At 41.3% G+C, this 27,012-nt stretch overlaps 1 long non-coding RNA gene across 3 annotated transcripts; it reads right to left on the bottom strand.

The window, feature by feature from the left end:
- Positions 1–1,112: 1,112 nt before the first annotated feature.
- Positions 1,113–25,866, bottom strand: LOC101927555 (uncharacterized). 3 transcript variants are annotated; one of them, XR_950585.2, is made up of 4 exons: positions 25,697–25,859; positions 25,182–25,360; positions 24,298–24,392; positions 1,113–1,266 (listed from the first exon to the last, which is right to left on the bottom strand). It is a non-coding gene; the product is annotated as an uncharacterized LOC101927555 (long non-coding RNA). The 3 variants fall into 3 exon arrangements; XR_950586.2 differs by lacking the exon at positions 24,298–24,392; XR_247331.3 differs by lacking the exon at positions 1,113–1,266 and having other exon boundaries at positions 22,120–24,392; positions 25,697–25,866.
- Between the last annotated feature and the right edge of the window lie 1,146 nt (positions 25,867–27,012).

The raw sequence follows: 27,012 nt of genomic DNA on the forward strand, positions 1-27,012 counted from the left end.
AAGGCAAACAGAAGGGTTAGTGAGATACATGGAATCACGCAGCTGAGGTGAGACAATGTAGGAAAATCAAGCATGAGACAGGAAATCAGGATATTGTGTTTCTTTGTGAAGACTCGGTTCCCTCTAATTGCTCATAAACCTAAAATCCCTACTTCATTCTTTGTAACATTTTTTCTCATTTCTTCCTGGAATTTTTGGATTCCATGCTTTTTAAGATGGCTTGAGAGAAAGACTTATCAGAGTCAACCTAACAGGCATTTATTAAGATACTACCAAGGGTGAGACCCTGAGTAAATGATTGTCAAATTTGAATATGTGGTTAGAAACACCTGAAGGACTGCTGGGCCCCACACCCAGAGTTTCTGATTCATTGAGTTTGAGCTGGGACTTGGGAATTTACATTTCTAGCAAATTCCCAGATGATATTGATATTGCTGTCTGGAGGCCACACTTTGAAGACCACTGCCTCTAGGAATGGGAAAAGAAATTAGATATCAGCAATCTGTCCTTAATGAGATTGCTTAAGGCTTTGTATTAGGGATGTACTTTGTCATGGAACATGTCATATAAATGACAAACTGAGAACACTGGCAACATATTTTAAAAGTAAAATATAGTACAATACACGCCAGAAGTTCTGAGAAGGATAAATAATTAAGTAGTGGTGAGGCAGAAGAGGCTAATTAGAGATGACAAAGAATAATACAAAAACCATGGGCCACAGAGCCAGGGGTGGCCTGGAGCTGAGCTGAGCTTATTAGGGGACAACTGCATAGGTGGACTTAAGGGCAAAACTGAAGGTTTTAAATGCTATGAAGTGTAGGGCCATGCTGCTGGTGCTAATTAAGCACTGAGAACTACCTTTCATACAAGGCTGAGATCTGTGAGACAGCCTCTTGCTTCTTGATCATGAACATCTTCAGTTAGATAAAGAAAGGGTCTAGTGAGGGTAGGTGGGTTACTCAAAATCCCTAGTGTTTAATTAGTTTTAGTTAGTTGAGACTGATTGTGATGAAACACAACATTTAACTTTGCTATCTCCTAGGCAAGTGCTGCCAGAAATAAAAAGTCTCCTTTTTACAGAAAAGAGAACATGGAAAGGCTGTCCAGAGTTCAGTCTCAAAGGCAACACTGGGCAGGGACTGACAAAGGGTTGAGGAGTGTCCATTAACCTGGGTATTGGTGATGGAAAGCATATCCTGAAATTGGAGATAGCAAGACTCTTGGTGAACTGTTGAGTAGACTGGGTTGAATTCAGTGAAGGATCTAAAGGAAAAATAAAAATATTAATGCTTCTATGTAGTATTAAAAGTTGTGACCATAAGATAGCAAGTATAATCACACACCAAAAAATGACTTTTCTGTCCCAAGTGAGTGGTGGGCTTCAATGTAGTCACCCAGAAAACATTAAATATTTGTCATATGTTCAAGATACATTTTGAAACATCTAAGGAAATAGAAATTATCACTTTGTTACATGTGCATGTAGGTGCACACACAGAGTATTACTCAGCGAATTTTTTCAGCTTTATTCTATATAATTATATATTTTTTCCAGCCTTATTCTGCCTGACTATCCAGATTTTACACTGTTTAGATCTGGCTGTTTCCAAATTGCACAAACTGTCTTGAACTGAAATGGACAGAAGGCAGGCAAATACTGGTAGAAAAGGGCAGGATCTTTGGCAAGGGCTCCACCCACAAGCTTGGACCCTCAGCCCAAAGTGAGAACTATCCCTGTTTTCCCACCTGATTGTTGCCTTTTGGCCCACCCCACACCACCCCCTATCCTGTGCCCATAAGAACCCCAAGCCCCAGACTCAGTGGACACACACACAGAAGAGAGAAGTGTCTGGATATTGAGATGAGAAGAAGCAGCTGGAGGTCAGAAACTATGGTCAGAGAGGAGTTCAGCTGGAGACACCCGGGCTCCAGGGGAAGATTATCTTCCCACTCCATCCCCTTTCCAGCTCCCTTTCCCACTGAGGCCCACTTTTACCACTCAATAAAGTCCTCCACATTCACCACCTTCAATTTGTTCATGTGACCTGATTCTTCCTGGACGCTGGATCAGAACTCAGGTACCAAGACAGCAAAGTGTAAAAGGCTGTCACCCTGACCTTCCACTGAGCTGGTTAACACTTAGCCATCCACAGACAGCAAATGTTAAAGGAGCACTGATTGTAACACATGCCCTCTGGGGCTCTGGGGGTCGCAGACAGCCCCTCCCAGACCGCAGAGCTAAAAGACTATTGTAACACACTTTGACACTGCTGCAGAACCCACACAAAGCTTGCTCCCGCCGGAGAGGAGCCACAGGCCAGTTCCACATTCATTTGCTCTGGTTCCCACACCCATCCACTCATGTGCTTCCTTCCATAAGGGATTCAGCATGGTAAACAAGTAAACAAGTCACTCATGTCACAAGTCCTGCAAAGGGGTCAAGGGAACACTCCTGTTTCAGAACCATTGAGGAAATTCAAAGAATCTGTGACAAGCTTCTTACCAGTGCCCTGAGATCTTGTGATTTCTCAGGATAGAAATCAAGAGAGATCACCAGAGGCAGCAATGAAGAGAGTTTATTACCTCTCAGGGAGCCAGCCATGAGAGAGCAAAAAGGAGTGGGCTGTTCCCCAAAGATACTGTGTGGTTCGGTTAGGTATAGGGTCTTTCCATAGGGAAGGATTCCCTCAGGGAATGTATAGGGAGAGTTTTGCTAGCACCTGCACAATGGCTCAACATGTTTCTTCATACATTGCATGTAGCATTAGAATTTTAAATCTCCACCCCTGGGCATGAACTTTAGTGTTGAAATGAGGAAAAGATAACTTTAGGTTGGAGTTTAAGTCTGACTCCACATATGGGACTCTGGGAAAGCCTCTAGCCCCCTGAAATAGAAATTTGCAATTAATAGCTTCCTTGGTCTTTTATTGCTGATTGGCTGAGAGTTAGACAAGCTAGAGTTTGAGTTGAGGGGCTTTTATCCTTTTCCTTCAGACAATCTTAAGATAGGGAACCAACCAGTCGGCCTGTCTCAGGCTCTAAGGAAAATTCTGAGAGGTCAGCAAGAAACCTAATATTATAAACAACAGTGCCATCAGCAGTTATTTAAATATATAAATATAAATTTTAAAGGTCCTATTAAAGTCATTCTGAGCCTGTACATTTAAACCATTCTAAATGTTTACGAGTATTTAGATACGAGAAGAAATTAGACCCAAATTATGCATCAATATCCAATACATGTGCACTGTGTATTCAAGATCAATATAATCTCCCACAGACTGTTCTGCTGAGTTAGCTAATATACAAAGACTTAGTTTGTTTTCTATATGTTAGAACATGAAAGAAAAGATATGTAGCTCACTGCCATTCCAAAATCCCAACAAATTATGGAACTGCCTCCATTGTGAAGCTGGCTAGTTTTCTTTTTTCTTTTTTTTGTTTTTTAACAGAGTTTCACTCTTGTCACCCAGGCTGGAGTACAGTCGAGCAATCTCGGCTCACTGCAACCTCTGCCTTCTGGGTTCAAGCGAGTCTCCTGCCTCAGCCTCCCAAGTAGCTGGGATTACAGGCATCTGCCACCACACCCAGCTAATTTTTTTGTATTTTTAATAGAGATGGGGTTTCACCATGTTGGGCAAGCCGGTCTTGAACTCCTGACCTCAGGTGATCTGCCCACCTTGGCGCTAGTTGTTTTTTAAAAGCCATCTTTCTAATGAAATGTAACACTGATGATTGCCTTACACATAGATAACATTAGGCCTCACATAGTAATCTCAGTGCTAACTACATGTCTTACCCTTCCTAAAATTTTACATTTTCTCTGTGGTTAAAGTCATCTTACAAAAAGACCCACATTTTACAAAGATTTAATTGTCTTGGATTTCAAATTACAACTAGTTTGATAGCCAAAAGGTTAAAAACAAATTGATTTTATGAAAAATTCTTATAGTATTAAATTTGACATGGATTACCATTAATAATAGAATCCTCTGCTGGCTGTGAGACATGCAAAGTTGCAAAGCCCAGATCCACAGATTAGAAAGGATTTTGACATGTATAATTGTGTTAGTCAGTTTGGGCTGCTATAACAAGATATCATAGACTGAGCGATTTAAACAACAGAGATTGATTTCTGGAGTTCTGGAGCCTAGGATAGTCCAGGGTCAGGGTGTCAGCAGACTGTGACTGGTGAAGACCCCCTTCCTGGTTTGCAGATGCTGTCTTCTTGTATCCTTAGATGGCGGAGAGAGAGATCATCTTTTCTTATAAGGGCAGGAATCACACCTATGAGGGCTCCACACTCATGACCTAATCACCTCCCCAAGGCCCCAACTCCAAATATCATCAACTTGGGGGTTAGGCTTCAATATATGAATTTTGGGGGGACACAGATATTCATTCACAGTAATAGCACTGTTGACAGCACACACAGATACCCCACATTCTTTTGCTCTTTCTGTAAGCCTCTTCCAACTGCTTTGTGCTTTGCTTCCGAAGGCCTGCAACTGAGACTTTTTTTTTTTTTTGAGACTGAGTCTTCCTCTGTAACCCAGGCTGGAATGCAGTGGCATGATCTCAGCTTACTGCAACCTCTGCCTCCTGGGTTCAAGCAATCCTCCTGCTTCAGCCTCCTGAGTAGCTGGGATTACAGGCACCTGCCACCAAACCTGGCTAATTTTTGTATTTTTAGTGGAGATGAGGTTTCACTATATTGGCCAGGCTGGTCTCGAACTCCTGACCTCTTGATCCGCCTGCCTCAGCCTTCCAAAGTGCTGGGATAACAGGCATGAGCCACCAGACCCGGCCGCAACTGGGACTGTCTTTAAGGATCTCTGCATGGAGCTGGGAGAGGGGAGCTTTAACCCTCTGTGCAGTTCTTAGGCAATGACTGACTGGTCCAAGTGTCTGACAATCTGACTCCCTGGCCTCAAGTTGGATGAGGCTGAAGCTGGACTTTGACAAAATCACACACTTTCTTGGGTTCTCTCTTTTCCATATCCTTCTTTCCCTTCTCCTTCCCTGTCTTCCTTTGAGATCACCTTGTTAACAAATTACTCCCACATGACTCCTCATCTCAGGGGCTGCTTGAGGAGAATATGACATCAGGCAATATATGCACAAAGAGCTTTACAAATTTATAAAATTTTTTTAATTAATTTTTTTTTGTAGAAATGGGATCTCTCTATGTTTCCTAGGCTGGTCTCAAACTCTTGGGCTCAAGCAGTTCTCCTACCTCTGCCTCCCAAAGAGCTGGGATTATAAGTATGAGCCATTGCACCCTGCCAAAATAAGATAACTTTTGTAACCAAAATATAGGCAGAGCCCTTCATGGCACAGACTCTGCACAGATTTCATCTGAAACCAACAGCAATCCAGTATTCTTTAGTTACCCCTCAGAAATATTTAATTAAGGTTGGGGATAAATGGCTGTTATGAGACAAGGAACATATGTTGATGCAAGTAGATTTATTACAATGATCCCATTTCTACTCACATGTTACTGAGGCTCAAAGAAGTGAGTACTGCACATTGAGTATATGACATGGGACCAGCCCAACAGGTGAAAGAAGTTGGAAATCTGTTTTATGTCTGAATTTGAAATGCAATAGCAGAAATCTGTTTTACGTGTAAATTTGGAATGCACTGCCATAAAGTATATCCTTTAAAGGTTTTATGCCTATGGTTACAAATCTTGTGGAGTGAGGACTTTAACATATCCCTCTTTTCTCTCAGACAGAACTGTAAGGTCTAATAAACATATTGGATTTAAGTTCTAATAAAGATATAAGCCATAAAATTAATCTCTTGTTAGGCTTCTCTGCTTACATTTGTACACTTGCTTCCAATCTTCAAGCAAGAGAGCTCTGCCCTCTAGAAAGAAGATGTGGGCCCATTCTGCAGGCCCAGAGGATTCAGGGACAGCTGCAGTTTCACATTTATCAATGACATCTATTCACATTTTCTGATTCCAAGTCTTAAGAAGCCATTTCTTCCTTACCAAGTTCCTGGCTGTTGCATGGGATTGCTGAGGATGTAAACTGGGTGTCCCTGAAGGTCCACTGTTTTGTTTTTGTTTTGTTTTGTTTTGAGATGGAGTCTTGCTCTTGTTGCCCAGGCTGGAGTGCAATGGCGTGATCTCAGCTCTCTGCAACCTCTGCCTCCTGGGTTCAAGTGATTCTCCTGCCTCAGCCTCCTGAGTAACTAGGATTACAGGCATATGCCACCATGCCTGGCTAATTTTGTATTTTTAGTAGAGATGGGGTTTCTCCATGTTGCTCAGGCTGGTCTTGAACTCCCGACCTCAGGTGATCCATCTGCCTCGGCCTCCCAAAGTGCCGGGATTACAGGCCTGAGCCACCAAAGGTCCACTGTTCTTATAGTTGGTCCTGGCCTGGTCTTCAGCATGGTCTCCCTTGGCTATAGAAAAAGGGGGTTTGTTTAAGAGCTGCCAAGGGACTTTTTGACTTTCTCACTTTGCCTTATGCTGACCAACTGGAGTCTATTTATCATGGAACCCATCCACAGCCTTTGTAATGACCATTTACCTTGTACCATCAAAAGCCAAAGAAAATTGCACAATCTAGCATACCTGTTCTGTCAGAATCCCTTCTGTATTAGTTTCCTAGGGCTTCTATAACAAAATACAATAAATTGGGTGGCATAGAACATGAGGAATTTATTATCTCACAGTTCTGGAGACTAGAAGTCCAAAATCAAGGTGTCGGCAAGGTTGGTTCTGAGAACCGTAGGGAAGAATCTGTTCCATGACCTCCCTGTTGGCCTCAAATTGTTCTTGTGGATGCCCTGTGTCTTCACACCATCTTTCCTCTAAGCATGTATGTCTCCATGTTCAAATTTCACTTTTTTTGTGAGGTCAACAGTGATATTGAATTAGGGCCCACCCTAATGATCTCATTCTAGTTGGATTATCTGCAAATATCTTATTTCCCAGTAATATCACATTCCCAGGTACTGGGGGTGAAATTCAACATCTTTTGAGGTTACATAATTCAACCCATGACATCATCTTAATTCGCTCCAGGTAAAAGTTTTAGCAACTGCAATGCTCTAGTGTGTCAGGGCCCCTCTGGGCTCCACATACCCCCTGTGATGGGGTATTTATTGCCACTTAGCTGGTGACTTAACTCTAGAATCCCATCCTCAGAATCTGCCTCCAAAAATCATCCTTGCACTCCTAACCAAATACCTAAGGCTGGACCTCCAGAAGCCAACTCTGAGACACAGATCATGAACAGGGTATTTATTAAGGGCCAGGAGAAGAACACAAGAGAAAAGGAAATGAAGAACAGAGAAAGGCACAATTTTAGCCAACTCCCTGGCCTTAGCCAGATCTTTGGGGAGCTCTAGACCATAAATTATGTCAGAATTTGCCCCATTTTGAGGAAAGGGAGTCAGGCTTTCAGAATCTTGCACAGTCATTGGCTATAGGCTTCCCTAGAACTACACTACCAGGCATTCCAGGCTCTCTCTGGGAGGGAGGGACTGGCCCATGGTCAGCCTCTGAAGAAGGTCACAGGGGCAGGCCATTTGGAACAAAGCACAGAGAAGCTATAGGATGCATTCACATGGCTGGTAAAGTGGATAAGAAGGGGTCCGGGGAGAGCATGGAGAAAGTTTACCACCCAAAGCAATACACTTTTGCCTACTTGTGCTGACATTTACTGAGCTTCAACACAGGAATGTTCTAGATAAAATAATATTACTCTGCAACATTGAGGGAAGACCAAGAATGCCTTGAGATAGGACTCAGCATGTCCTGGAAGCAGGGTGCCATTGTGTGGGAGGGAGGTGCCCAGCAGAGGTAATTCTTGGATCCATGGCACCTGCGGTGGACAACTGGCCAGGAGGAGCCACAGGAACCAGCCCCACGGGCTCAACAAGGCCACAGAGCAGCAGCAGGAGGCCCTGAGTAAGACCCTGTTTGTGACAGTCCCCTGAAACTTTAAAAGACAAAGCAAGGGAAGAAAGCGGCGGTGAAGATGGATTAAAGGCCTCACAGTAACAGGTCTGTAGGTACAGCCAGAGAAATCAACGCTTATTGTTTTTAATGTGTCCCGCTTTTTCTTCTTCCTTTTAATGCCAGATGGGTGCGGCAATCCTTTGTTAAGACAGAAATTATTTTACTTTTTTTCCACAGTGGTACAGAAAAATGTACAGGGCTCATTAGAAATATTTAGTGGATGGAAAGTAATTTGAAGAAATCGATGAGGTTGAAAATAATAATAAAAGAAGTCAGAAAGGGGCAGAGAAAGATAGAAATTTACAGGTTTCAAAGCAGGGATACATGAGGAAAAAGGTTACATAAGTTCTCTCTTTGAAGCACAGAAGGTGTGCAGGAAGGGAATAACACCCATCCACATGCTCGTGCTCAAGAGATTCAGGTTTCTCTTAAAGTGAGGTCCTGGGAGTGCAGACTGAATATATTTGAGGAAACCTAGGTTCAGACAGGTTAAGTGATTTTTCTCAGTTACACAGCTGTGGATTGCACAGCTTAAAAAATATTATAAAAATTCTTATGAGGATTATAACTGAGAAGTAGGTGTCTTTTTTGCTCACAGAATATTCTATGGCAAATCCTAGACTCAGGTTCTTATAGCCATAGCCCCAGGCTGTGCCAAACATCCACACACACCCACTTTCCCATTCTCTCCAGCAGACCTCATAAGTTATCTTAATATGTAGTCTATGGTCTATTTAGGCACCACCTGCACACAATCATCATTTATCAAATTGCCTAGGCAAACCAACATCGGCTTTGCTATATCTTGGCAAATGTCTCTCCTATATTTAGCCTTTTAGCCACAGTGTGATGATTGGAATGTGTCTTACAGAAAGGAAGCTTTCTCTGAGAGCCATGCAGGGGTGAGGCGGCAAGCCTCTGACGGAGATAACTTCCTGACTTGTGTTTGGCATTTCTCCAAGCTGCTGAAATAGTACTTGAAGTGTTTCATGGACACACGGAGATTTAACACCTGCAAAGTTAAGCCTGACGCCCTAAGGTGGAATGCTGAAACGGCAGAGAGCAGAGCAAGTGTAGGTGAGGATTGCGTTTCACCTTCCTAGTGCCCTCATAGGGTGCGTTGGATTTATGTCTCACTGAGTGAGGCGCCCTCTCCTGGCCGACGATCCCACTGGCTCAGTCACAGCAGGAAAGCGAGAGCTGCAGGTTGCAGAAAGACAGGGCTCCACTCTCAAGGGAAACTGCTGACAATGCCAAAAGTCAGAATCCTTTCACTGTCTCTTTACATCCCAGCTGTCAGACAAGCTAACTTTAAATTTTAACTTAAGCAAGATTGTGTTTTTTATAGAATATTTCAACACAGAGGGCAAATTTCATTCTAATGTGACAAAAGCAGCGTTGGGAAAAGAGTTGGAAATGTGTGCTTTTGAATGTGACCTGAGATATAGCTTCCAAAGCTGGCCATTGCTCTCCTGGCCCAGAGCCTGACCCCATCTCATGACAGGAGAAGCTGAATCTCACGCTCTGTAAGAACCTGGCTTACTCCCTCATTAAATATGAGTCCCTGTTCTCAGAAGTGGATCACTGTAGTTTGAAGGATCAACATTGATCAAACATATCCATTTCTGCCAGTTTTACCCCTCTCTATGCTGTTACTAAACAAGAGAAGTTATTCTACAATTTATGTAAGTTATAAAATAGTAATTAAATATTTTGGAATATGTGAAAAAGTAAACTACCAAAATCTCCCTACCTACCTACAGTATTATCATCTTAATGTATTTCCTTTTTTCTCCTTTTATATGCACATTTACACTAAATGTTTATGTGTACATATATATTTTAGCCTATAATACTATTTTATTTTGATTTAACATGTATTTTATTTACTATGTAATATATGACATATAAATATATATTTTATATTATCACCTTATATTTATAGCTTTCTTCTGTAATGTTGATTAATTATTATCAGGAGTAAATTATATTTAGAGAATATGCTGCAGCAATAAAAAGCTTAATAACAAGGAATCTGGACTAAAGTAGAACAGGGTAAGCCCACATCCAATTAAGAAAGCTCTTTGGACACATATATATTCCACCAACAGAGCTACTAAAATGTAACTTACATTCTTAAGCTTTCCATAGTCTGTATACCCATGTTGCCAAAGATACACTACAGTAAGAAAGAAGAGAATTTTATACCTGAAAGATTTTTGCCTGTGCTGGCTTGTAGGGAATATTCTTAAAGACTAGCTTCAACTCTGTCTGTTGTTGTTCCCAATGAATTATCCAAGTATCTAAGAGTTTAGGGTTCATGCTGCCTTCAGCCATTGAGGCCATTCACCTGGTGAGATATGTTTTCCCCAACAAAACATGGAACCCCTGGAGAATATATACGTGTCTGCAGTCATGTTCCATTATGGTTTTGCTTTCAGTTAGCCAATCATATATATAATTCATAGTAAGGGTATCAAGGTCTGTTTTTGTTCCACCAGCAAGCCCATGGCAGTTTGGGAACCAAAGGCATTCAGAGTATCTGAAATCACTCCAATTCCCAGGATGGGTTGAACCTACCTGAGAGCTCTACAGGGCAAAGGCAAGCTGTTCTGTGTCTATTTTTTCCTTAAGCCATTTCATACACACACCTTTGATGAGAGCACCTAAGTGTCATAAAATGCTGACTTTGGACCCAAAGACAGATTACCTTGAAAGAAATGGGCTGGGATTTCCAATTAGCAGCAGAAATTCCAGGAATTTCCAGATTACTTGGCACCCATATTATCAGCTACATATAGGGAGTCTGGACTTGAAAATTCAGGAGCATGGGGGTGCATGGTAGTGAATTCCTGTAATTTTATATTGCCTTGGCATTCATTTTGAATATAAGTTGGACTTTCTCATACAAGAAACATGGTTTAGTCACCCTTGGCACAATTTCCAGTTCTCTATTTCATCCCAGTTCCTTAATATGGTCAATCCAGATATCTCCCTTATACAATTGTCTGCTGTTGACCACCTTCCCTAAGGGACAGTTAGGTACCACCTATTGGCTTACCCCACTGACTCCTCCATCCCCCATAGACTGTACAGATATGCTGCAGCGACAACCTCTCAGTAACAGCGTGGCCACATAGGACTTGGAACAGCTTGCTTTAAACTCGCAAATTAGAACTCCCATGGAAACCCACCTAATAATACCCTGGACTCCAATAAAAGCTTTAGCACACAGGTCCCTCACTCTCTCTTTTGCTCTGCACTTTGTGGTTCTGGTAGAGCATGTATATCTGGAATGGCTCTGCTTTCCCATCAGCTCTGCAAGGAGTGCTGCCCTTTTCTCTAATCTGTAAGTAATAAACTCCTCCTATTATTGTGTGGTTTTTGTTGCATCGCCTCCTCTGCATCTCACCTGACTGACACACCTGAACCTAGTTTCTTTCCAAGGGAAAGCTCTCCTAGACAATGGATATCTTGGTAGAAATAAACTGGATATAGGTCAGACAAGAGCCACGAGGGTGCCTGCTGGTATAAGCATGTTTCCTGTGAGTGGGACACCTGGTCATGGGTTGGACGCTTAGGCACTAGGCAACACTTAGGCATTAGGCCATCCACTAGGATAAAGAAGTCACTGTAGACATCCATGACCCAAATACTGGAGCCCTTTCAGTGCAGGGTTAGAATTCACAGCCATTTTCCAGAGAGAAACCTCAAGACCAAATTAGAAAAACAAAATTCCAGTACTCACCAACAGCCTCCTGCTTTTAGAGAAGGGGGTGCTTGAAACTTCTGATTAGCCTCTCACTCTCTGTCATTTCCCATCTCCCCAGGAGGTAAAATAGCTCACCCCTGCTAGGGAAGGGTAGAAGTGGGGAGAAGCTAGGCAGATGGTTGGCAAGGATTACTTCTCGTATTTCATCCTAATTTGCATTAATGCTCAACTTTGAATCACTCTTTCTGTGTATATAATTTTTTAGTAAAAAAAATTCCTCTTCTTTTCAATTTTGAGCCTGAAATTGTGAACAATTTGATTGCTATTTGTTAGTCACATTAAGATTCTCTTAAAATATACTCACACATTGTTATGTATCTAGCAGGCATATACTAATGTATGTTCTTGTAAAAATATGCCTATGGGTATTTAATGCCAGAGACAATTACTGTATTTCGTTTCAAGTTCAGTCCACAGCATGGGACCTCTTCTGAAAGTGCATGTACAAAAATGATTATGTCTAGTATAGCTCAAAGTATTGTCTTCCATTCTCACTCCTGGAGAATATTACATTTTTCCCCCTCCAGAATTTTGTAATTACTGTAGGGGAAGAAAAATTAAAAGATGCTAAATTTACCAAGTGTAGATCTTTCTTTTTTTTTTTTTTTTCTTCAGTATATATCTCATTTTAATAAGACCACAGTATAGTCTCACCTGACAAAATAAACAATAATTTCTTAATATCATTAAATAACCAGTCTATGTTCACATTTCCAATTAGCTCATAAATATCATACATCATTTTTATTTCTATATTATGGTGATGCAACAGCAAAATTCAGACTGTAGGAAAAACTACAGGATAACTAGTTTTCTTCAATAAGCAGAAAAATGTATAAATTAAAAAAAGAAAGAAAGAAATGTGGAAATATGGATTATAAGAGACTTAAAAGTTATTTCAAACAATCACTGTATGAACTTCATTTGGATCCTGAATACTGGAAATTGTTTAATTCTTTTTTGTGCACTAGGGATGGAGAGTCAAATTACTGTGTCTTCTAAAAGCCCCAGATTTCACTACCACACAATTTATCCATGTAACAATCCTGCACTTGTACCCTCTAAATCTATAAAAATAAAAATTTATTTAAGATATTTTTAAAAACAACAACAATTGTGCCTTAAAGCCATTGGGAAGAGTTCCTCTCTGTGAAGGTGTGCTCCTAACTGAACACACAAGATTTGTAAAAATTGCTTTTTTATTTTTTGTTTTGTAATTACGTAAAATATTTATGCAGCTCAGAAGTCAAGTTTACAAGGCAAATTCACTTCTGTGCCTATTCTCTTTTTTTTTTTTTTTTTTTTTTTTTTTTTTCCTCAGGGATCTAGAACTAGAAATACCATTTGACCCAGCCATCCCATTACTGGGTATATACCCAAAGGACTATAAATCATGCTGCTATAAAGACACATGCACACGTATGTTTATTGTGGCACTATTCACAATAGCAAAGACTTGGAACCAACCCAAATGTCCAACAATGATAGACTGGATTAAGAAAATGTGGCACATATACACCATGGAATACTATGCAGCCATAAAAAATGATGATGAGTTCATGTCCTTTGTAGGGACATGGATGAAATTGGAAACCATCATTCTCAGTAAACTATCGCAAGAACAAAAAACCAAACACCGCATATTCTCACTCATAGGTGGGAATTGAACAATGAGATCACATGGACACAGGAAGGGGAATATCACACTCTGGGGACTGTGGTGGGGTCGGGGGAGGGGGGAGGGATAGCATTGGGAGATATACCTAATGCTAGATGACATGTTAGTGGGTGCAGCGCACCAGCATGGCACATGTATACATATGTAACTAACCTGCACAATGTGCACATGTTCCCTAAAACTTAAGAGTATAATAAAAAAAAAAAACATTAAAAAAAAAAAAAGTGTAGATCTTTCAAAACTTCACAGGTAAAAGTGCCTCAGAAACATTTTTCAAAATGGTTTTGTCAATACTTTAATCAAAGAATTAGCTAAAGACTTGCTGTTTGAATATGAAATTATGTTATTCTCACAAAATCTTTCCCTCTGTGATTAAAAATTGTAATCCTCATGTTCTTGTTTTATTACCTGCTATATATAAAATATATTTAGGGCAGGGCACAGTGGATCATGCCTGTAATCCCAGCACTTTGGGAGACCTAGGCAGGAGGATTATTTGAGCCCAGGAATGGGCTCAAATGCCCAGCCTGGGCAGCACGCAGATACCCCAACTCTCTCTATATGTGTGTGAATAAACTAATGTGAATTTTCTTTCCCTACCTGTACTGGAACAAGTTTAAAAGTCCTACATACATACGGGAAACATTAAGAAATGTAAGTCATTATCATCATCATGGTCATCTTCATCAAACACTCATTTGGCTGGTGGGAAACAGATTCAAATTCATTTCTGTTTGACATCTGAATTCAAGACATTCACATCTTGAAAGTTTAATCCTTATCCTTTACTGCCTCATGTATTCTATGTAACCAAGAGAGATGATGGGCTTGTATTTATTTGCGCCTTTTCTTTGGTTCTACATGGGCAACTATTTGTCTTCTACATAAAACTTTATTTATCCTGAGCCAGTCTGGATAGGCTTGTGTTCCTGAATATTGAGAGTTCTCTGAGTAAATGCTCTCTCTAGATAATTTTATCCTATATCATAGGTTTTAATCTTACCCAAATGCTGGTTATTTCTAAACTAACACATCCAGCCTTGACCTCCCCTCTGTGTCCAGATTCAGATACTTGACTGCCAAATTAACACCTCCTCTGGGATATCTGAGAAGCATTCTGAATTTAACCACTCAAAACAGAAACTTTGATTCCTCCCTGCCCCAAATATGATGCTCCCCCTCACTTCCAGTCTTAGTGGAAATATCATCTCTAACTATCCAGTGGCTCTGGCCCTCAATTTAAAAATCAGCCTGGATTCCCTATGTTTTACACACTCCAAATCCATTCTATTGGCAAAGCCTGTCAACTTTACCTTCACAACACATCCTAAATCGAGTTCTCACCTTTTTTGTAGATACTACCCGAGGCCATGTTTCCGTTATCTCTCTTCTAAATTACAGCAGTCATTTCTGATTGTTCCCTCTATTTCCATTACTTTTTTTTTTTCCAACCCAATCCCAGCTATTTTCCAAACAGGAGCCAGAATGATTCTTTCAAAAACGTAGATCAGATCACATCATTTCCTGCTCAAATTCTACAACAGATTTTCACCACATGAAACAAATCCATAAGTCTTCACCATTATCTCCCAGGCCACAGGGAATCTAGGCCCTGCTTATCTTTTGTATCTGTTACTTACTACTTTTCCCTCTGCCACTCTATATCACTTTGGCACTATTTTTCTTGCTGTTTATTAAACCTCCCAGCTCTTGCAGCCTTAAGGCTTCTGATTGGCTATTCCCTCTTGCATCAGATATTGGTGTGGTTCTTTCATCATTTCTTTCACTTCTGAGCCTTCTCTCCAACAATACTCTCTACACACACACATTGTGTCATTCTATATTCAACCACACTTTATTTTTTCCACATAGCCCTTATCACAACCTAACACTATATTATGCATTTGCTTCTTAACTTGCTGTTTTTTTCATTAGACTGGACACTCCACAGGGGCAGAGATTTCACCAATTTTGCTCATCCTTGTATTAAAAACATTTTTTAAAGTGCCTGGCACACAGTAGGTTCTAAAAATAAGTGTTGAATTTTACCATTATGCTTTTAATATTTTTTCCAAAATAGGTTTTTATGCTCTGTATTCTTAGATTATGCTGAACACCATCGTCTTTAAGATTTGCAGCATTTGTTAGAAATGCTGGTTGTGTTGCTCTGTTAGAAAGTACAGATCTAAGACCGGGCATGGTGGCTCATGCCTGTAATCCCAGCACTTTAGGAGGCTGAGACGGGCGGTTCATGAGGTCAGGAATTTGAGACCAGCCTGGCCAGCATGGTGAAACCCCATCTCTACTAAAAATACAAAAAATTAGCTGGGCATGGTGGCACATGCATGTAATCCCAGCTACTCGAGAGGCTGAGGAAGGAGAATCACTTGACCCCAGGAGGCGGAGGTTGCAGTGAGCTGAGATCACGCCATCGCACTCCAGCCTTGGTGACAGAGAGAGACTCTGTCTCAAAAAAAAAAAAAAAAAAGTACAGATATAAGAAGAGTATGATAAAAGTGTGGGAGGCATCTGTTGAATATGGCTTTAGTTCTCATTTTGAACATAATGTAACAGTCACAGTACATTAATGGCTTCCCTACTTTTTTTTAAAGCATTACTTATTACATTACTCATATTTTTCTTTCATATCTCTTACATCTTACATCTTATTCCATGAAATAAGTGCATTCCTGTTGAATGTTCATTCACACTTCAAAATGCAGGTAATATGTTAGCTTCATCAGCACTCACAGTTATAAATTTTCCCTTGTCTTCCAATATATAGGTAATTATATACAATCTTACTATAAAATTTATTATGTTATTGCAATCTGATTATTAAACTAGATTTAGTGAGATGAAAGCAGAAAAGATAGCTACTCACTTTGTCCACTAAATTTGTTTTTTTTATTATTAGACTTTAAGTTCTAGGGTACATTTGCACAAAGTGCAGGTTTGTTAAATAGGTATACATGTGCCACGTTGGTTTGCTGCACCCATCAACTCATCATTTACATTAGGTATTTCTCCTAATGCTATCCCTCTCCCAGCTGCCCACCCCCCAATAGGCCCCGGTGTGTGATGTTCCCCTTCCTATGTCCATGTGTTCTCATTGTTCAATTCCCACCTATGAGTGAGAACATGCAGTGTTTGGTTTTCTGTCCTTGTGATAGTTTGCTGAGAATGATGGTTTCCAGCTTCATCCATGTCTCTACAAAGAACATGAACTCATCCTTTTTTATGACTACATAGTATTCCATGGTGTATATGTGCCACATTTTCTTAACCCAGGCTATCACTGATGGACATTTGGGTTGGTTCCAAGTCTTTGCTATTGTGAAGAGTGCCGCAATAAACATACGTGTGTATGTGTCTTTACAGTAGCATGATTTATAATCCTTTGGGTATATACCCAGTAATGGGATTGCTGGATCAAATGTTATTTCTAGTTCTGGATCCTTGAGGAATCACCAATCACCACACTGTCTTCCCCAATGGTTAAACTCATTTACACTCCCACCAACAGTGTAAAAGCTTTCCTATTTCTCCACATCCTCTCCAGCATCTGTTGTTTCCTAACTTTTTAATGGTTGCCATTCTAACTGGCATGAGATGGTATCTCATTGTTGTTTTGATTTGCATTTCTCTGATGACCAGTAATGATGAGCATTTTTTCATGTGTCTGTTGGCTGCATAAATGTCTCTTTTGAGAACTGTCTGTTCATATCCTTTGCCCACTTTTTGATGGGGTTGTTTTTTTTCTTGTAAATTTGTTTGAGTTCTTTGTAGATTCCGGATATTAGCCCTTCGTCAGATAGGTAGATTGCAAAATTTTCACCCAATATGTAGGTTGCCTGTTCACTCTGATGATATTTCTTTTGCTGTGCAGAAGCTCTTTAGTTTAATTAGATCCCATTTGTCTATTTTGGCTTTTGTTGCCATTGCTTTTGGTGTTTTAGTCATGAAGTCTTTGCCCTTGCCTATGTCCTGAATGGTATTGTCTAGGTTTTCTTCTAGGGTTTTTATAGTTTTTAGGTCTAACGTTTAAGTTTTTAATCCATCTTGAGTTAATTTTTGTATAAGGTGTAAGAAAGGGACCCAGTTTCAGCTTTCTATATATGGCTAGCCAGTTTTCCTAACACCATTTATTAAATAGGGAATTTTTTCCCTGTTGCTTGTTTTTGTCAGGTTTGCCATGATCAGATGGTTGTAGATGTGTGGTGTTACTTCTGAGGCCTCTTTTCTGTTCCATTGGTCTATATAACCTGTTTTGGTAACAGTACCATGCTGTTTTGGTTACGGTAGCCTTGCAGTATTGTTTGAAGTCAGGTAGCGTGAGGCCTCCAGCTTTGCTCTGTTTGCTTAGGATTGTCTTGGCTAGGTGGGCTCTTTTTTGGTTCCATATGAACTTTAAAATAGTTTTTCCAATGCTGTGAAAAAAGTCATTGGTAGCTTGATGGGGATGGCATTGAATCTGTAAATTACCTTGGGCAGTATGGCCATTTTCATGATATTGATTCTTCCTATCCATGACCATGGAATGTTCTTCCATTTGTTTTTGTCCTCTTTTATTTCATTGAGCAGTGGTTTGTAGTTCTCCTTGAAGAGGTCCTTCACATCCCTTGTAAGTTGGATTCCTAGGTATTTTATTCTCTTTGTAACAATTGTGAATGGGAGTTCACTCACGATTTGGCTCTCTGTTTGTCTGTTACTGGTTTATAGTATCGGGGGAACCAGCCCCCAATATTTCAATGTAGGTTCTATTTTCCCTAAGTGTCGGCTGGCCTGAGAAATAAAGAAAAAGAGTACAAAGACAGGAATTTTACAGCTGGGCCTCTGGGGGTGACATCACATAACAATAGGTCCGTGATGTCCCCCTGAGCCACAAAACCAGCCGGTTTTTATTAAGGACTTTAAAAGGGGAGAGCATGTATGAACAGGGAGTATATCACGAAGATCACATGCTTTAAAGGGCAATAAAGATCACAAGGCAAAGGGCAAAATTAGAGTTACTGATGAGGGTCTATGTTCAGCTGTGCACATATTGTCTTGATAAACATCTTAAACAACAGAAAACAGGGTTTGAGAGCAGAGAACTGGTCTGACCTCAAACTTACCAGGGCGGGATCTTTTCCCCACCCTAATAAGCCTGAGGGTACTGCAGGAGACCAGGGCGTATTTCAGTCCTTATCTCAACCGCATAAGACAGACACTCCCAGAGCAGCTGTTTATAGACCTCCCCCCAGGAATCCATTCCTTCCCCAGGGTATCAATTATTAATATTCTTTGCTGGGAAAAGAATTCAGCGATATCTCTCCTACTTGCACATCTGTTTATAGGCTCTCTGCAAGAAGAAAAATATGGCTCTATTCTGCCTGACCCCGCAGGCAGTCAGACCTTTGGTTGTCTTCCCTTCTTCCCTAAAATCGCTGTTATTCTGTTCGTTTTCAAGGTGCACTGATTTCATATTGTTCAAACGCCCATGTTTTACAATCAGATTTCATATTGTTCAAACACACATATTCTACAATCAATTTGTACAATAGTGGTCCTGAGGTGATGTACATTTTCAGCTTAGGAAGATAACAGAATTAAGAGATTAAAGTAAAGACTGGCATAAGAAATTCAAAGAGTACTATTTGGGAACTGATAAATGTCCCTGAAATCGTCACAATTTATGTTCAGAGATTGCAGTATAGACAGGTGTTAGAAATTATAAACGTATTAATTTTGGGAACAGATAAATGTCCATGAAATCTTCACAATTTATGTTCCTCTGCTGCGGCTCCAGCCGGTCCCTCTGTTTGGGGTCCCTGACTTCCGGCAACATTATAGGAATGCTTATGATTTTTGCACATTGATTTTGTATCCTGAGACTTTGCTGAAGTTGCTTATCAGCTTAAGGAGATTTTCGGCTGAGACGGTGGGGTTTTCTAAATATACAATCATGTCATCTGCAAATAGGGACAATTGGACTTCCTAATTTCCTAATTGAATACCCTTTATTTCTTTCTCTTGCCTGATTGCCCTGGCCAGGACTTCCAACACTATGTTGAACATGAGTGGTGAGAGAGGGCATCCTTGTCTTGTGGTGGTTTTCAAAGGGAATGCTTCCAGCTTTTGCCCATTCGATATGGTGTTGGCTGTGGGTTTTAAATATCTCTTATTATTTTGAGATACATTCCATCAATACCTAGTTTATTGAGAGTTTTTAGCATGAAGGGCTGTTGAATTTTGTCGAAGGCCTTTTCTGCATCTATTGAGATAATCATGTGGTTTTTGTCATTGGTTCTGTTTAAGTGATGGATTACATTTATTAATTTGTGTACGTTGAACCAGCCTTGCATCCCAGGGATGAAGCCCACTTGATCATGGTGGATAAGCTTTTTGATGTGCTGCTGGATTTGGTTTGCCAGTATTTTATTGAGGATTTTGGCACTGATGTTCATCAGGGATATTGGTCTAAATTTCTCTTTTTTTGTTGTGTCTCTGCCAGGCTTTGGTATCAGGATGATGTTGGCCTCATAAAATGAGTTAGGGAGGATTCCCTCTTTTTCTATTGATTGGAATAGTTTCAGAAGGCATGGTACCAGCTCCTCTTTGTACCTCTGGTAGAATTCAGCTGTGAATCCATCTGGTCTTGGACTTTTTTTGGTTGGTATGCTATTAATTATTGCCTCAATTTCAGAACCTGTTATTGGTGTATTCAGAGATTCAACTTCTTCCTAGTTCTGTCTTGGGAGGGTGTGTATGTCCAGGAATTTATCCATTTCTTCTAGATTTTCTAGTTTATTTGCATAGAGGTGTTTATAGTATTCTCTGATGGTAGTTCATATTTCTGTGAGATTGGTGGTGATATCCCCTTTATCATTTTTATTGAGCATATTTGATTCTTCTCTCTTTTCTTCTTTATTAGTCTTGCTAGCAGTCTATCTATTGTTGATCTTTTCAAAAAACCACCTCCTGGATTCATTGATTTTTGGAACGGTTTTTTGTATCTCCATCTCCTTCAGTTCTGCTCTGATCTTAGTTATTTCTTGCCTTCTGCTAGCTTTTGAATTTGTTTACTCTGGCTTCTCCAGTTCTTTTAATTTTGATGTTAGGCTGTTGATTTTAGATCTTTCCTGCTTTCTCTTGTGGGCATTTAGTACGATAAATTTCCCTCTACATACTGCTTTACATGTGTCCCAGAGATTCTGGTATGTTGTTTCAAAGAACATATTTATTTCTGCCTTCATTTCATTTTTTATCCAGTAGTCACTCAGGAACAGGTTCTTCAGTTACCATGTCATTGTGTAGTTTTGAGTGAGTTTCTTAATCCTGAGTTCTAATTTGATGGCACTGTGGTCTGACAGACAGTTTGTTGTGATTTCTGTACTTTTACATTTGCTGAGGAATGTTTCACCTCCAATTATGTGGTCAATTTTAGAATAAGTGTGATGTGGTGCTGAGAAGAATATATATTCTATTGAGTTGGGGTGGAGAATTCTGTAGATATCTATTTAGGTCCATGTGGTGCAGAGCTGAGTTCACATCCTGGATATCCTTGCTAAACTTCTGTCTCATTGATCTACTATTGAGATTGGGGTGTTGAAGTCTCCCATTATTATTGCATCGGAGTCTAAGTCTCTTTGTAGGTCTCTAAGGACTTGCTTTATGAATCTGGGTGCTCCTGTATTAGGTGCATATATATTTAGAATAGTTAGCTCTTCTTGTTCAATTGATCCCTTTACCATTATGTAATGACCTTGTCTCTTTCGATCTTTGTTGGTTTAGTCTGTTTTATCAGAGATTAGGATGGCAACCCCTGCTTTTTTTGCTTTCCATTTGCTTGGTAGATCTTCCTCCATCCCTTTATTTTGAGCCTATGTGTGTCTCTGCATGTGAAATGGGCCTCCTGAATACAGCACACTGATGGTTTTGACTGTTTATCCAATTTGCAAGTCTGTGTCTTTTAATTGGGGCATTTTGCCCATTTACATTTAATAGTGTTATGTGTGAATTTGATCCTGTCATTATTATGTTTGCTGGTTACTTTACCCCTTAGTTGATGTAATTTCTTCATAGTGTAGATGGCCTTTGCAATTTGGCATGTTTTTGCAGTGGCTGGTACTGATTGTTCATTTCCATGTTTATTGCTTCCTTCAGGACCTCTTGTAAGGCAGGCCTGATGGTGACAAAATCTCTCAGCATTTGCTTGTATGTAAAGGATTTTATTTATCCTTCACTTATGATGCGTAGTTTGGCTGGATATGAAATTCTGGGTTGAAAATTCTTTTCTTTAAGAATGTTGGATATTGGCCCCCACTCTTCTGGCCTGTAGGGTTTCTGCTGAGACATCCGCTGTTAGTCTGATGGTTTTCTCTTTGTGGGTAACCCGACCTTTCTCTCTGGCTGCCCTTAACATTTTTTCCTTCATTTCAACCTTGGTGAATCTGACAATTATGTGTCTTGGAGTTGCTCTTCTCGTGGAGTATCTTTGTTGTATTCTCTGTATTTCCTGAATTTGCATGTTGGCCTGCCTTGCCAGGTTGGGGAAATTCTCCTGGATAATATCCTGAAGAATATTTTCTAACTTGGTTCCATTCTCCCTGTCACTTTCAGGTACACCAATCAAATGTAGATTTGGTCTATTCACATAGTCCCATATTTTTTGGAGGCTTTGTTCATTTCTTTCTACTCTTTTTTCTCTAATCTTGTCTTCTCACTTTATTTCATTAATTTGATCTTCAATCACTGATATCCTTTCTTCCACTTGATTGAATCAGCTATTGATGCTTGTGCATGCGTCACGAAGTTCTCATGCTGTGGTTTTCATCTCCATCAGGTCATTTAAGGTCTTCTTTACACTATTTATTCTAGTTAGCCATTCATCTAACCTGTTTTCAAGAGTTTTAGCTTCCTTCCAGTGGGTTAGAACATGCTCCTTTAGCTCAGAGAAGTTTGTTATTACCGACCTTCTGAAGCCTACTTCTGTCAATTCATCAAAGTCATTCTCTGTCCAGTTTTGTTCTGTTGCTGGTGAGGAGCTGCGATCCTTTGGACAAGAAGAAGTGCTTAGGTTTTTGGAATTTTCATCTTTTCTGCTCTGGTTTCTCCCCATCTTTGTGATTTTATCTACCTTTGGTCTTTGATGTTGGTGACCTACAGATGGGGTTTTAATGTGGATGTCCTTTTTGTTGATATTGATGCTATTCCTTTCTGTTTGTTAGTTTTCCTTCTAACAGGCCTCTCAGCTGCATGTCTGTTGGAGTTTGCTGGAGGTCCACTCCAGACCCTGTTTGCCTGGGCATCACCAGCAGAGGCTGCAGAAGAGCAAGTATTGCTGCCTGATCCTTCCTCTGGAAGCTTCATCGCAGAGGGGCACCCACCTGTATGAGGTATCTGTCGGCCCCTACTGGGAGATGTCTCCCAGTCAGGCTATACGGGGATCAGGGGCCCCCTTAAGGAGGCAGTCTGTCCATTCTCAGAGTTCCAACACCATGCTGGAAGAACCACTTCTCTCTCAGAGCTGTCAGACAGGGATGTTTAAGTCTGAAGAAGTTGTCTGCTGCCTTTTGTTCAGCTATGCCCTGTCCAAAGAGGTGGAGCCTATAGAGGCAGTAGGCATTGTTGAGCTGTGGTGGGCTCCACCCAGTTTGAGCTTTCTGGCTGCTTTCTTTACCTACTGAAGCCTCAGCAATAGCAGACCCCCCTCCCTCCACCCGGCTGCAGCCTCTCAGGTCAATCTCAGATTGCTGTGCTAGCAGTGAGCAAGGCTCCATGGGCGTGGGATCCACTGAGCCAGACATGGGAGGGAATCTCCTGGTCTGCTGGTTGCTAAGACCATGGGAAAAGCACAGTATTTAGGCAGAAGTGTACCATTTTTCCAAGTACAGTCTGTCACAGCTTCCCTTGGATAGGTAAAGGAAATCTCCTGACCCCTTGCATTTCCCGGATGAGGTGACACACTGCCCTGCTTCAACTCACCCTCTGTGGGCTGCACCCACTGTCCAACCAGTGCCAATGATGATGAACCAGGTACCTCATTTGGAAATGCAGAAATCACCTGTTTTCTGTGTTGGTCTCACTGGGAGCTGCAGATCGGAGCTGTTCCTATTCGGCCATCTTCTATCCACTAACCTTCAAATTCTCACACCCGGAGGTTAGTTTCAGAAGATCATAGAATTTGTCATTGTGTTCAGGTACTTAGTATCTCATCTTTAAATAATAAAAAAGCATTGTCTGACACTGTTTTAAAACTATATTTAGAAATACCAAGAATTTAATAGCCAAGATAACTTTGAAAAAGAACAAAGGTTGAGGATTTACATGATTAAACATCAAAACTTGGTATAAAGCTAAAGTAAATCAAATAGTAAGGTATTAGAACAAGCATGGACACCTAGAATAATAAAACAGAAAACAGATCAGAAACAGACCTTTCTATATACAGTCACCTGATTTTTGACAAAAGCACTACTACAATTTAGTGTGAGGAATGGCCTTTTCAATAAAAGGTGCTGGATCAACTGGATATCTATGAGGAAAAATTTATTTTGACCCCTCCTCAAACCCTATACAAAAGTGAGTTTGTGATTTGAAAAAATCACATCAACTAGATCTGAGACCCTGCTGAGAAATGTAAAATAATGTAACCTCTTAAAAAAGAATGTAGGACATTATTTTTATAATGTTGGGATAGGCAATGATTTTCCAAATTGTACATAACTATAACTAACCATAATTGATAAATTAAACTTTCATAAAATTAACAATTTCTGTTCATCAAAAGACACCATTTAGAGAGTGAAAAGCCAAGCCACACACTGGGGAAAATTACTAAAAATACAAAAATTAGCCGGGTGTGGTGGCACACACCTGTAATCCCAGCTACTTGGGAGGCTGAGGGGAGAATCGATTGAACTCGGGCAGCAGTGGTTGCAGTAGCCGAGATTGCACCATTGCACTCCAGCCTGGGAAACAAGAGTGACACTTGATCTCAAAACAACAAGAACAAAAAAGACTTAGCACTTATTACGTAGTCATTGCTTCCATTTGTGTATATTGACATATACACAAATGAAATACATATTACATTTATAGTAATATGTATTTCAATACATATTACTATATATGTAATTTTATATATAAATTAAAATTTATATATAATAAATTTTTACTTATATATTTAATAAATATATGTAATTATATATATTTGTATATATACAAATATATAATATTAATACATTTATTATATTATATATAATAAATGTATTATTGCTGCTATCTATAAACACACACTGTGTTGCTATTACTCCTGTAATCCCAGATGGGAAGGGATTTACTGTGAGAAAGTTGAACCTCAACTGGAAAAGTATATGGTTTTGGGGTTTTGTTTGTTTGGGTTGTGGAAAAATAGATGTCAGAAAACAAAGTGGATATCAAGATACTAGAACAGTAAGAATTTAGGTCTGGGTCTGGAAACGACATTCGAACATCAATATGTAATAGTAGTTCATGTCCAAAACTCACAAGTGAGATTATCAAACTCCAGGGGAGTCTATTAATGTGGCCATAAAATCTACCCCATAATTTTGACATAATTTTTCCAGCCCAAAATACAACTGACATCATCTTATGGGTCCGGAAGTGCCATACACCAAGCAAAATTTCTACCGGAGAAATAACACCGTGATCGTTTGGGGAGCAGCCTGACCAGTGTTCCCTGAGTTACGCCGACCGCCCCCAACCATCCTTCTCACCTAATTATTACCAGGTCAGGAAGATGTCCTGCTGCACGCTCAGGCGGTCACTCCTCCTTTCCACAAGGCCCATGTCCGCACCGTTCGCCCCGGGGCTCCCATGGCCCCCGACCTCCAGTCTCCGGCAACGATGGACCCTCACAGACACGGCAGGGAGCGAAGGGCGCACACTCACCTCCCTGGAGTCAGTGGGAATAACCCCGGGCGCTCTGAGGGTAGGTCCCACACCCGGAGCCGCACGGGCCCATCCCCGCCAGGTCCGGGCAGGCAGCCCGAGCCCGGGACCCCGCCTCCCCCGCACCTAGGGTCCGGGCCGAGCTTGGCAGCTGAGGTCCCGCTCCCACTCCCACTCCCAGCGCCTCCCCCTGGCGGCGGCGGCCGCCTGGGAGGCCCCTCCCCGGGCGCTGCCTCCTCAGAGGGTGACGGCCGCCTGGCCGGGCCGGACAGAGGCCGGCCCCTCTTCCAGCTCCTCCTCACCCCCCGGAGGAGACGGGGGACGGGGATGGGGTTCTAACCAGGCAGCAGGACACAGCAAGGCCAGCCACGGCACAGCCTCCTCCTCCACCATCTCACCAGGCTCCCTGCCAGGGCCGGCGCAGGGCAGCGCCTGAGCTACTAGGGAGTCTGGTCCGGCTGCTGCTCCGCCGCCGCCGCCGCCTTCTCACAGCCACAACAACACTGCAGCAGCGACCACACAGAGCGCGCTCCCGACGCCGAGCCGGGCGACGAGCGGGGACGCGCTCGCACGCTCGGGCGCTGAACCCGGTGTCCGGGGAAGGGGGCGGGTCTCCGCGGGTTGGACGGGGGCGGGGCCTGGACAGGTGGTCACGCCCCAGGAGATGGGCGGGGCTGCAGCCCAGACGAATACCTGCGGCTGGGGAGAGGCTCGCGAAAAAGACGAGCGGAGGCAGAAGGGCTAGACAGATGGGAATTGGGCGCAGGAAAAGCGATGACAAAAAAAATATCTGGAAGAAAACCAAAGGTGGTCCTACAAATTTTTAGGAGGCGTCTTTCCCTGGGGAAGACATGGCTCACTCTACTTACCAGAAAAATAGAACAACAGTGGTATCTTTCACCTGCAATTGTGGTCAGGATAAAACCAGTTTAATATAGTGCAAGTAAATGTAGTGTTTTAGAAGATGTATTCAGAATACAATTTCGTTTTTTCTTTTCTTTTTTTTTTTTCTTTTTTTCTTTTGAGACAGAGTCTGGCTCTGTCTCCCAGGCTGGAATGCAGTGACATCTCAGCTCACTGCAAACTCCGCCTCCTGGGCTCAAGCGATCCTCCCACCTCAGCCTCCTGAGTAGCTGGGACTACAGGCGCAGAACATCATGCCCGGCTAATTTTTGTATTTTTTGTAGACATGGAGTTTCTGCCATTTTGTCCAGGCTGGTCTCGAACTCCTGGGCTCAAGCAATCCACCCACCTCGGCCTCCCAAAGCACTGGGATTACAGGCATGAAGCACCGCACTCGATCCAGAATACAATTTCAAACTGATTCAACTTCAGCTCCTAATCAAAAGCTTAGCGGGAAGAAGTGAATTTTCAAACAAAATAAAGCCCTCCCCCCAAAATTGTAACCTACCCACACTAGCCTGCGGAATTCCACAAACCAGGATTGCATTACCGTAGGCCCTAACAGATTCACCTCTGAGTTGCCTTTTAACATTCTACCCTTGATTTTTCTGGAAACTGGGAGAACTAGTCAAATGAAATCTATTCCTGCATCTGTTGTAAAGTTTTTCCACAGCACTTTCTGAAATTTATTTTCAATGTTTATTGTTTTTTCACTCCACTTAGAATGTAAAAGCTACTTGAAGATGAGGATCT

This window comes from Homo sapiens, unplaced genomic scaffold (genome assembly GCF_000001405.40).
Source record: "Homo sapiens unplaced genomic scaffold, GRCh38.p14 Primary Assembly HSCHRUN_RANDOM_CTG2".
NCBI lineage: Eukaryota > Metazoa > Chordata > Mammalia > Primates > Hominidae > Homo > Homo sapiens.